Raw genomic sequence first — 13,307 nt, 5'->3', positions numbered from 1 at the left:
CAACAAAGTACTAGCAAACTGAATCCATCAGCAGCATATCAAAAAATTAATCTACTATGACAATACAGGCTTTATTCCTGGGATGCATGGCTGGTTCAACATATGCAAATCAATAAATGTGATTCACCAGATAAACAGAATTAAATCAAAAACCATATGATCATCTCAATGGATGCCGGAAAAGCTTTCAATTAAATCCAGTGTCCCTTCATGAAAAAACAAAACAAAAAAAAACCCTCAACAGTTGAGGCTTCAAATAAGCATACTTCAAAATAAAAAAGAGCTATCTACAACAAACCCACAGCCAATATAATACTCAATGGGCAAAAGCTGAAAGCATTCTCCTTTAGAAATGAAACAAGCCAAGGACATCCACTCTTACCACTCCTATTCAACATAGTACCAGAAATCCTAGTCAGAGCAATCTTGCAACAGAAAAAGAGAAAAGCACCCAAATAGGAAGTGAAGATTAAGGCAAACTATCTGTCTTCACCCAACAATATCATTCTATACCTAAAAAACCTTAAAGACTTCAACAAAAGTCTACTAGAAATGATAAAGGATTTTAGCAAGGTTTCAGGATACAAAATCAATGTACAACAATTAGTAGCATTTCTATACAACAACAACATCCAGGTTGAGAGTTAAATTAAGAACACAATCATATTTACAACACCTAGGATGAAAATAAAATCCCTGCAAATACAACTAACCTAAGATGTGAACGATCTCCACAAGGAGAATTACAAAACACAGCTGAAATCTGAAGCTGGATGCAGTGGTTCATGCCTTTGGGAGGCCGAGGCAGGTATATCGCTTGGACCCAGGAGTTTGAGACCAACCTAGGCAACATAGTGGAACCTCATCTATACAAATTTTTTTTTTTTTTTTAAATAGCGAGGCATGGTGGCACATGCCTGTAGTCCTAACTACCCTGACGGCTTGAGGCCAGGAGTTCAAGCCTGCAGTGAGCTATAATGACTCCACTGCATTCCAGCCTGGGTGAAAGGGTGAGACTCTGTCTCAAAAAAGGAAGGAAATAAGAAAAGGAAGGAAGGATGGAAGGGAGGGAGGAAGGGAGGGAGGGAGGGAGGGAGGGAGGGAGGGAGGGAAGGAAGGAAGGAAGGAAGGAAGGAAGGAAGGAAGGAAGGAAGGAGATTTTGATAACACAAATAAATGGAATAACATTCCATGTTTACAGATTAAAAGAATCAATATTGTTAAAATGGCCACACTGCCCAAAGCAACTTGTAGATTCAAGGCTATCTCCATGAAACTACCAACATCATTCTTCACAGAATTAGAAAAAACTATTCTAAATTTATATGGAACACCCCCAAAAGCCAGAATGGCCAAAGCAATTCTGAGCAAAAATAATAAAGCCAGAGAGGCGTCATACTACCCAATTTCCAGCTATACTATAAGTGTACACTAACCATGATACTGTTACAAAAGCAGACACTTAAGCCAATGGAACAGAATAGAACACTCAAAAATAAAGCTGCACACTTACCACCATCTGGATCGTGGACAAGGCCAACAAAAACAAACAATGGGGAAAAGGCACCCTATTCAATAAATGGTGCTGGGATAATTCGCTAGCCATAAGCAGAAGAGTGAAACTGGATGCTTACCTTCCACCATACACACAAATTAATTCAAGATGGATTAAAGGTTAAAATGTAAGACTTCAGATTATGAAAACTCTAAAACAAAACCTAGGAAATATTTTTCTCGACATTGGCCTTGGCAAATAATTTTTGGCTAAGTTTCTAAAAACAATTGCAACAAAAACGAAATTGACAAGTGAAAGTCAATCAAACTAAAAAGCTTCTGCACAGCAATAGAAACTATCCACAGAGTAAACAGACAACTTACAGAATGGGAGAAAATATTTGCAAACTATGTATCTGATAAAGATCTAATATAACAAATCCATAAGGAAGAAAAAATGACAAGCATAAAACAACCCCAGTTAAAAAGGGCAAAGCTAATACAGGAGCAGAAAATCAAACTCCGCATCTTCTCACTTATAAGTGGGAGCTGAACAATGGGAACACATGGACACAGGGAGGGGAACAACACACAATGGGGAACAACACACAACACACACTATAATTTTCTGTAGGGGGTTGAGGAGAGGGAGAGCATCAGGAAAAATAGCTAATGCATGCTGGGCTTAATACCTAGGTGATGGGTTGATAGGTGCAGCAAACCACCACCACACACGTTTATCTATGTAACAAAACTGCGCTTCCTGCACATGTACCCCAGAACTTAAAATTTAAATCAAGAAAAGGCAAAGGACATGAACAGATATTTTCTCAAAAGAAGACACTCAAGTATATGAAAAAACACTCATCCTTACTAATCATCAAATAAATAAATGCAAGCAAAAACCACAGTAAGATGCCATCTCACATCAGTCACAACAGCTATAATTAAAAAGTAAAAAAATTAGATGTTGGCCAGGCTGCAGAGTAAAGGGAATGCTTATACACTACTGTTGATGGAAATGTAAACTGGTTCAGGTACTGTGGAAAGTATTTTGGAGATTTCTCTAAGAACTTAAAACAGAGATACCCTTCGACCCAGCATTCCCATTACTGGGTATATATTCAAAGGAAAATAAATTATTCTACCAGAAAAATATATATGCACTCGTACGTTCATCAGCATGTTATTCACAATAGCACAGACATGGAATGAACCTAGGTGCCCATCAAAGGTGGATTGGATAAAGAAAATGTGGTACATATACACTATGGAATACTATGCCTCCATAAAAAAGAATGAAATTATGTCCTTTGCAGCAACATGGATGGAGCTAAGGACATAATCCTAAGCAAATTAGTGCTGGAAAAGAAAACCAGATACCACACATTCTCACTTATAAGTGGAACCTAAACACTGAGCACACAGGAACATTAACATGGGAACAAGACATGCTGCAGGCTATGGGGGTGGGGGAGAGAGGGGAGCATGGGCTGAATAACTACCTACTGGGTACTATGCTCACTACCAGGGTGCACTGTACAAAAGTAACAAATCTGCATATGCACTGTGTCTGGAAAAAACTGAAATTATAAAAACCAAGAGAATATGTTTCTAATGAATGTAGACTTTATTTGATGGACTGGACTAGAATATAATATTTTTTTAAGGGGAAAGGCATTGGGGGATGCACAATGTCTACAGGTTTCTAAACCTCTCTGGTTTCTCACCTAATTCATAGTCTCTTATGTCATTTTCATAGTTTTCATATTCTGCCTTTCCACCTCTTCTTTTTAACAAGTAAAATTCCTCATAGCATACAAAAAAACAATTTTATAAAAAACCCATATTATAGATCAGGGACCTGTGGATTATATGCTATTAGAACTATACAAAATGTCTCTATATAGTTTTCTGTATCTTTGGAATATCTTTGGGTGAAGCTGCAGACCTTCTTGGTGAGTGTTACAGCTCTGCGCAGAGCCAAACAGTGAGCAGCAGCAAGACTGCAAAGAGCAAAAGAACAAAGCCTCCACACTGTGGAAAGGGACCCTAGCACGTTGCTGTTGCTGGCTCTGGCAGCTGCTTTTATTCCCTTATCTCACCCCACCCACATCCTGATGATCGGTCCATTTCATAGAGAGCTGATGGGTTCATTTTACAGAGAGCTGCTTGGTCTGTTTACAATCCTTTAGCTAGACACAAAAGTTCTCCAAGTCCCCACCAGATTAGCTAGACACAGAGCACTGATTAGTGCGTTCACATACCTTGAGCTAGACACAGCATGCTGATTGGTGCATTTACAATCCTCCAGCTAGACGTAGTAAGTTCTCCAAGTACCCACCGGACTCAGGAGCCCAGCTGGCTTTGCCTAGTGCATCCCGGCCGCGGGCGGAGCTGCCCGCCAGTCTCTGGCGCGCTGCCGCACTCCTCAGCCGTTGGGCGGTTGACGGGACCGGGTGCCGCGTAGCAGGAGGTGGCGCCCGTCCCCTCGGGGTGGCGCGCGGGAGCCTGCGGTTGGGGGGCGGGGGGCGGGGGGCAGGGGACGGGGGCGGGGAGGAGGGTGAGGGCTCCAGCATGGCAGGCTGCAGGTCCCGAGCCCTGCCCCCTTGCCCCGCGGGGAGGTGGCTGAGGCCCAGCGAAAATTCGAGCGCGGCGCCGGCGGGCCATCACTGTTGGAGGACCCAGTGCACCCTCCGCAGCTGCTGGCCCGGGTGCTAAGCCTCTCACTGCCCAGGGCCGGCGGCGCCAGCCGACCGCTCAAGAGTGCGGGGCGCGCCGAGCCCGCGCCCACCCGGAAGTCGCGCCGAGCCCGCGCCCACCCGGAAGTCGCGCTGGACCGGCGAGCCCCGCAGGCAGCCCAGGTTCCGGCCCGCGCCTCTCCCTCCACACCTCCCCGCCAGCAGAGGGAGCCCGCTCAGGCCTCAGCCAGCACAGAGAGGGGCTCCCACGGTGCAGCTGCGGGCTGAAGGGCTCCTCAAGCGCGGCCAGAGTGGGCTGAGGCCGAGGAGGTGCCGAGAGCCAGCGAGGGATGCCAGCAAGCTGTCACCTCTCAGAAATACAGGAAGAACATCAATAATGTTCGAAGTTATAAAGTAGTAGGTTTCTATCAAGAGTAAAACATAAACGAAGTTATAAAGTAGTAGGTTTCTATCAAGAATAAAACATAAACGATCAAAGAATTCCTTATAAAAACATTTTTTATTTCTAGGAATCAAAACATAAATATAAAATTTGAGAGTCCACCAAAAAAAATTAGATGCCAGATTTCACTATAATTATCAGGGAAGCGCCCAAATGGGTTGTTTACGGCGCCTCGGGGAAACTTTCTGTTTCGTGTTAAGGGTCTTGAACCATGATGTTTAGAAAACCATGGGCTGATGCTTTCAGAACCTCTGTGATTTTTGCCTCCGACACTGCATCCAATAGACTAGCATGTTGATTAGGGAAAGCTAAATTCAATAAAAGACGACTGTAAGTGGGGTCACCACCTTGAGGGGTCATGTTAGAAAAGTAGATGATAAGGTGGTATTGATAGAGTATTGAAGTCTGGGCTCAAATGGTTGCCCGGGGCCTTTCAAGACCAATGACTGATAAGAATAGGTAATGTTCAGGACATAGAGTTTAGGATTGGGGGACACTGTGAGTTAAGGGCCATGACAGAAGTCTTCATAAGTAAACTGTTAATTGACACAAGCTGCTACCTGCCCAGGTGAGCAATCTGTTGGCCCAGAGGAGAGTTGCTTACTGACATAAATTGATTTGCAGAAATTTCCTGAAGCAAACAATAAGTTATTTATTGGTTTGCAGCCTTACTTTCCTGAAAAATAATTTTCTGGAATGAATTGTGAAATCATGTTGACACAGATGGCCTCAGGTTTCAGTTCGGATAATTAAGCTGTGTAAATATAGAAAGTCGAAGGTTTCTGGGTGCTGTTGATTCACAGTATGCAACAATGATCATATTACTTTTATTTACTATGAGCTTCAGCTGAAAATCCAAAAGAAACTTTAATTTCAGATATTTAATGAAATCATTATAGCTGTGGTAATTTCCTTTAGCTGGGTGTGAGTGTGTGATGTGAGCGTGTGATTGTGTGTGTGTGTGTGTGTGTGTGTGTGTGTGTACTCTGGCAGCATATTCCAAATAATTTCTGTAAAATTTCAGTTTGAAATTAATAGAAGACATATTAAATTGTTTAAACTCTTTGTTATTTAAATTCTATATTACTTTAGTCGATTACTCTGTATTATTACGGCAAAGCTTTGATATGTTGCCCTGAATTTAAAGAAAAGGCTGTTCGGCCTAAAAACAGGAATATTTTATTACCAAAAAGAATTAACTACCATATGTCATTTACAGAAAAGAGTAAATTCTTCAGGGCATAGAAAATACACATTTCCTTCTGTTTGTGTGGAAATAAGCAAAATACCTGTTATAATAGATTCCTCACAGAATTTTGTGAAGCTTCAGGTAAACTTGAAAGAGAAAAATTAAAATGCTAGAGTTTCATAATTACAAATTGGGATATAAAAATAGAATAATTATTTGAATTTTGTATTTCTCTCCAGGGGATCAAAAGTAATATATAAACTTTTAATAAATATTGATATAGCTTCACGTTGACTCCATATGTGAGCAATTTGCTTTCTGTTAAATTCACAATTGCATAATTTTTTTCAGGCTGGAATGCACTTGGATGCCAGAGATTTTGATTTCTTCATGTGAAATAAGGTGATAATACATTCCAAAGTATATATTTTTTCAACTTTGAATATATCTGGTGTATTTGGAGTAATATCTGAGTAAATACACTTATATGTAAGAGAATCAAAGGAACAAGATATTATTTTATATCCAAGGAAATTAACACTTAGAACATAAATACGTATTGCATTACTTCATATTAAAGAAATGTTTTACAAAAGAAAATAAAGGAGCTTATTTTATAGCCCCATTTCCACAAATAATAGCAAAGGTACATACACATATCTAATGTTTTACACACTCATTATTGTTTCTCTTAAAATTTGTTGCTTATACTATTTTAAAAGGCAAGCCTATAGATTGTTGTGTGTATATACATATACACACAACATACATATATGTGTGTGTGTGTGTGTGTGTGTGTATATATATATATATATATATATATATATATATATCAGCAAGCAAGAGAATGGGCCTCTTCCTGCTGAGGTTTAACATTTGCATGTATATGTATATTTTGATTCACATAGACTTATTGTTCTTTAATTACATGAACAGTGATTCCTGGTTACATTATTGGAAAATGGAAGCAATGCTCAAAGAGCATCACCTAAATTTCCATCATATTTTGCTCTCAATATATTTTGTACATCCAAATATATTGTGATTAATCTGCATACATTTTTGCTGTTCTAGGTGACGCTGGTATGAGGCTAGGTAATACACGACCTTAGTCTGCATGTTGTACTTGTGTAACACACATAATTTTACAGTGCTAACAGGTGCTATAATAACTAACTATAGTTAATGATGAATGAAAGAAGGAAGATGTTAAGATGTTAGGGAAGGACTCAAAAGATGCAGTGCTTGAGTTAGAATTTTAAGGGAGATTATGCAAAAGCAGTCACTTAAGGTGGGTCGGGATGATCTAGAATGTGGGAATGATGTATGCAAAGTCACACAGGAGAGATACAGCATGCATGTTTAGAAAATTGTTGATTACATATGGAAAGTTTGCAGGACTTGCATCCTAGAATGTCAGGATTTTAAGCTAAGTAGGGTTCAAATTAAATTTTTCACATACTTCGCTGCATTATAATAACTAGTTTATGTTTAACTCATCCACTAAACTAAGTTATTTGAAAAGAGATGCCAGTGTTCACTCAATCTAGTTGTCTGTCATTAATAATTTAAAAATAATTGAGATTTTAATTTTGGTCTGCTAAGCCTGTTTAATTAAAATTTGACGTTAAATAAGATTTTACAGGCCTCATTTTTTTTTCAGTCATCACAGTTTGAATATTAAACATTACTACTTTTATCTCCCTCAGTCAGCATAAAACATACTACTTATGGTTTTAATAACCAAATTCAATGAGCACCAACAAAATTTGATGTAACTATTAACTTTGAAATTTTGTTGAAATAGAACTATGCCTTGGGTATCATTCAAAGCATTTAATTGTTGCAATAAAAAACTTTGAGATAAATTGAAATGATGGACAATATGGGTCGAAAGCAACACTGGCTTGAGGGAATAGGCTAATGTTTGAGAACAGAATTGTTAAGGACAAGATTGGATGTTTATATTATTTTAGGAAAGATACACTCTAATGGAGTTTAATTCTAAAATGTTTAATATTATGAAAATATTATATGTTATATGATCATTATAGAAAATTAAAAATATAAGAACATCAGAAGCAAAATAGTCAAAGTCTACCTAAACCCAATTAGAAGTGAATACTATTAATCTTGATTTGCATGTTTCTAATCTTATTATTATCAAATTAATAAACAGCTTTCAGATATTCTGCTTCTCCCTGTTACTAGATCAGGATAATGTCATTTATGTACAGGCATCTCCTGCTTACTCAGTTCAGCATTGATCAATAAATATTTTAGACTTCCATTCAAAACACTTCCATTTTTCTTTTGCCCATATTCTTTTTATTCAGTGCTGCCTGTTTTCAAATACATAACACTTTGTCAAACAAATTCCAACATTAGATTGGATATAGTTGGTATCAAAGTAGTAATACACATTGCCATTCCTAATCCTCAGTGCATTGATCCTGAAAATTATTTGTAAGAATAGAAAAATACTGGATATTTCAAATTAAGTCTCATTTTGTTGCTTACCCATGAAAGACTGGAATTAACCAACATAACCATTACAAGGTGATTGAGCAAATGAATAGATGGAAAATATTATAGAAACTTTACTGCAGTTCATCAACCATTGTGGTCATTAGGCCGTAGGAAAATACAGTGTGACAGTACCCCTGTCTTCTTTTCCATTTGTTAAGTCTCATATCCAAGTAACAGTGGGTAGACCTTATGAGAACCCAAAGTGAGATAAAAATAATTTTTGGCTTTTCAATGTATCTTATTTGATCTAAGAGGTATTTCCCCGACTTTGATGCAATAATTCTTGTCACAAAATTTGACTTTACTGAAGACCGTTTTAAGGATCTTTGCAGCTGACAGCAGTGACTTTTTTACCTCCTACAAAGTTTCAACTGACAGTCTTATTGTCTCTGACTTTCCCAAATTAATGACATAATTAGTCACCAGGGCTTTGGCTGCTCAATAGGGATTTAGTAAGCAATGAGTCATATGTTGGGGAACACTTCAACAAACAAAATGTTGGCAGAGAAAGATGTATGAATCAGCTAGGAAGAAACACTATTCTATCACTGAGGATCTTTCTAATATTAGATATCACAGAAAAATTTTCATATAGATTACCATATGAGTGAGCCAAAACCTCTAGGAACAAAAAAGCTTAGTATAATTATAACTCCTTGCCATGATTTAACTTAAAATTTCTTTACTTATTTAGCAATTCTATAAACAAGAATCATTTCTGTTAAGGATACTAAGGAGAGTGTTCCTATTGAATCAGAACATTTAAAAGAAATAATTGAGGGAACTCACACATGTAAAACGTCATTAACCAAACTAAAATAAAATGTGAGGGCATAAACTTAACCAGAAATGTTTAAAACCTATATATAAAAAAAACTAGAAAACACTTCTGAATGGCACAAATTTGGACTTGAGCACGGGGAAAGAAATTCCATGCTCTTGAAAAAGCCTTAAAATCATAAATGTGCCAGTTCTTTAAATAAACTTATATCTTCTGTGTCATAACAAAACGACATTTTCTAGAATTTCTTTTTCCAGATTTAGAAAAATAGACAAATTTACTTGGAGGAATAAAGAAGCAAGAATAGCTAGAAATATCCTATAAAATCAATGGAATTTGGAGTCAATACAAAATATTAAGCAATTCTTAAAGCTTCTATGATTAAAATGAGTTATAACTACAGATAGATGAAGATCATATAGAAAATCAAGACATTGACAGATATGGAAAGGTGGTATATAATGAAAACATTTCAGATCAGTGAGGGGGAAATGTTAACCGGAAAAGAATATTAAAAAGGCAATGAACTCAATAAGACAACAAGAAGCAAACCACAGAAAAATAACTGGACTGGATTAGAAAGAAAATACTTTAGACACTTCAAAAATAAAATATTCAAATAACCAATGAACTTATTAAAAGGTTTTTATTTATATTGGTTACCTGAAAAAATAATTCAAACCACAATGAGATGTAAGTACTTGTCATTCAGAATCCTGAATTTGAAAGGAATATTTTAGAATTCTAAGTTGAAGAGAAAGTGCAAAGTATTGATGAGAATGTTGACTAATTAGAACACTCAAATTGATGTTATTGGCATAACTTAGTTCAAATAATTTGGATAAAGATATGTATTAGGCCCCAAAATTCTACTTGTAAAGATGGTTTCTCCAGAAATGCATGCATATATATAGCTAAAAAAAAATGTGTACTCATGAAAACACTTTTCAGAATAACACCAAAATAACCCCAAACTGTGGCCCAAAAGTGGACTAAAATACTTATAAAGAGTACAGTAAACAAATAAGTTGTAATATGATCACCTAATAAAATATTAGAGAAATAAATATAAATAGTTTCATTTGCAGGTCATATAGTCAATTCGTCTCACAAATATAATATTAAGCAAAAAAATGTGGTTCAAAACACTACACACACTATTTGATTCCTTACTGGTAAAAGTTAGAATAGTGTTATGTTAGGAGGGATGGGTGGAAATCAGGTGTGTGACTATTACATTTTCTTATTCTGGATGATCATAGTATTTTAAAACTCACTAAGCTTTAAACTTATGTGCATTTACCCATGTGTATACAATACTTTAATAGAAGCTTCAAATCAATGAGAAAACATGAAACTGTCTGATGGAAAAATAGCTTGAGGAAATGAACAGGTATGGCAGAAAAGAAGGGCTGCATATAGTTTAAAAACTTGAAGAGATGTTTAATCTCTTTGCAAATAGAAAAACATACGCATTTAAATTGAAATACCATTTTCATGTTCCAAAATTAAAATTATTAGAAATATGATGGTAAACAGTGATGGTAATATGGGAGAAAGGAAACATCCTAGGCAATTTGGCTAAGCTTTTCTGAGAAAGATTTAGGCAATATGCCATTAAAAGATTTAATGTGAACAAATGGGAAATTTGCCCACATAAATAAATGGAAAGATACTCTATTTTTCCTAATTTAATCTGAAAATACCTAAGCCCCTGATATTTTAGAGACATAATTTTCACTGCGATGGTCATAATTTTAAAAGGTTGCATCATCCATTTTTAGTTAACATATATTGTACTAACATCACATATCTATGTAACAGAAAAATAGAGTCAACTCATGTAGGGACAGACATGAAAATGACAAATACATATAGAGATAGAAAGGTATCTTGTGCATTATACTGAGAAAGACAATAGAAATAAACAATTTACATGGGTTGATTTATTTTGATTAAGATATATAAGTGGTTAGATAAATGTTAAATAGGTCAGTATGTAATTACAGAAAATGACAAATTGTTATGTATGGTACATTTGTAGGCATAACACAGACATTACATTTTGGAAAATTGTGTTCTATGCAACAGTGCCAAGTCTAATGAAAGTAAGAGGAAGAGGAATTCAGCCAAAGTACCAACCCCTGTTATCCATTCCTTAAGAAAGGAACTTCTTTATACACTCAAAAGAGGGGATTCTTTTTAAATTTGTTTCCAGAGGGGCATCTGCATACACATACACATACACATACACACACACACACACACACACACACACATTTACATTATATTTAAATGTGTGTGCATGATATATATATATACATGTATTTATTTATTTAATATATATGTGTTATCTGGGTCCTATATAGGAACACACACACACACACATTTTGAATCAAACACTCTTTCGTATAATTTTGGTGACAAACGTATGCAATAAATGAGAATACTTTAACTTTCCAAAAAGCTATTCAAAAGTATAATTTTCAAATAAAATATATGTTTGTATGACAACAAATGATTTTTTATAAATAATATATTCTGCATTATCAATCTGCCACTGGTTTTTATTAAATAAAAAAACCTGTAAGTTTGTATGCTCTTAAAATACATATAACATTTGTAAGAATAGTTTTTGTGTAAAAATAATTATAGTTCACTATAACTATGTTAAAAATAGACATAGCCAGGCAAGTCGCTCATGCCTGTAACCCAGCACTTTGGTAGGCTGAGGCGGGCAGATCACTTGAGGCCAGGAGTTCAAGACCAGTCTGGCCAACATAGCGAAACCCCATCTCTAATAAAAATACAAAAATTAGCCGGGCATGGTGGCCCATACCTTGTAATGCCAGCTACTCAGGAAGCTGTGGCAGGAAGATTGCTGGAACCCGAGAGGCGGAGTCTGCAGTGAGACAAGATCATGCCACTGCACTCCAACCTGGGTAACAGAGTGAGACTCTGTCTCAAAAAAAAAAAAAAAGAAAAGAAAAGAAAAGAAAAGAGAAAAATAGACACAGATGAAGGGTGTCTTTGATTATGCAAATAGATTACCCATCTTGTACTCACTGTGTTTATTTCAATAAATGATCCACAGAATATGCTACTTTTGATTTATAGTTTTCTTCTCCTTCACCGCTGTGGACTGGGAAAATATTTCTTATTATTTCTGCTGCAGAGTAGCAAAAAATTATGAGCCAGAAGGAAGACCACTACAACAAGCAAAATCTCTGAGTAATCATAAAATGAAGAACTATTTCCTGTTGGGATTCACTGTGACGAATTTGATTTTAAATTCTTGATGTTGGCATTTTATTTTTAAAACTTAGCTTTCTTGCCTATTCTGAAATTGTCAAAAATTCAGAAAAATAATCATGATCATTTGCTTGCTGACCAGTGGAGACCTACTGATTTTTAGGCTGTGAGACTACAGTAATAAATAAATAAAAAAGTTCATACTTCCTTCTATCGAGGGAAATTGAGCATTTTTCTCATAGTCCTAAATCACCAGATCAAGGGATATATGTAATACTTGAGTGTTGACATTTTATTAATTTTTATATTTAACTAGAGCTGTAAAGTTGAAACAAATGGGTCAATGCAGTAGCCCATAAAATATTTTAAAAACACATAAAAGAAATATCACTAAAATTTAAACATAAAAAAAATACAAAAAAACCCTGAGCTATAGGAAGGGAAGTATCCTCTAAATGCCCAAGTTGAAGGTAGTCCTCTTAGAAAGGGACAGTAAGAAGCAGTGTTTGATGGGAACGTGATTTTTCAAGTATTTGAATTTTCAAACTCACCACATTAACTGAGTAAAATGAAAAAAATATATAAACTTCCTCTGAGGCAGAAAAAACATTTGGCATTTTCAAGATAGAATTATAATAAAAATATCTCGCCCCAATAGAATACAAAGAAGCATCCTTAAGCAAATAGAAGGCATCTACGGAAATATCACACTGAAGTGTGAACTAATAAATTATTCATTTAAGATCCAGAAGAAGACAAAGTGTCCTCTTTCACTATTGTTCTCTCTACTGTATGGGAGGAATTAACCAGTGAGACAAATCAAATAAATAAGTAAAACATACACAGTTAAGAAATGAAAAATACACTTCTAAATTTTTAAACAACTCCATTACCTACACATAAACTTCTAGTGACTGT

General features: G+C 36.0%; 1 long non-coding RNA gene across 2 annotated transcripts in view, besides 1 other annotated feature; it reads left to right on the top strand.

The window, feature by feature from the left end:
- Window positions 3,922-4,745: an enhancer, noted in NCBI's record as "NANOG-H3K27ac hESC enhancer chr5:69139757-69140580 (GRCh37/hg19 assembly coordinates)". NCBI's record gives its function as "activates a minimal SCP1, AML or CMV promoter by ChIP-STARR-seq in primed H9 embryonic stem cells {active_cell/tissue: H9 hESC(primed)}" and the evidence as "EXISTENCE:reporter gene assay evidence [ECO:0000049][PMID:30033119]".
- LOC105379623 (uncharacterized) overlaps window positions 4,311-13,307 on the top strand; it is a 35,178-nt gene continuing 26,181 nt past the window's right edge. Inside the window, exons 1-2 of one of the 2 annotated variants that reach the window (XR_001742419.2) lie at window positions 4,311-4,592; window positions 6,179-6,229. This is a non-coding gene — a long non-coding RNA (uncharacterized LOC105379623). Of the gene's footprint in view, window positions 5,207-6,178; window positions 6,230-13,307 lie in introns of both variants that reach the window. The other variant, XR_001742418.2, reaches the window with a different exon arrangement.

Source organism: Homo sapiens, chromosome 5 (genome assembly GCF_000001405.40).
Source record: "Homo sapiens chromosome 5, GRCh38.p14 Primary Assembly".
Classification (NCBI taxonomy): domain Eukaryota; kingdom Metazoa; phylum Chordata; class Mammalia; order Primates; family Hominidae; genus Homo; species Homo sapiens.
The sequence above is the reverse complement of the archived record's forward strand: the minus strand, read 5'-3'. Positions and strand labels throughout refer to the sequence as shown.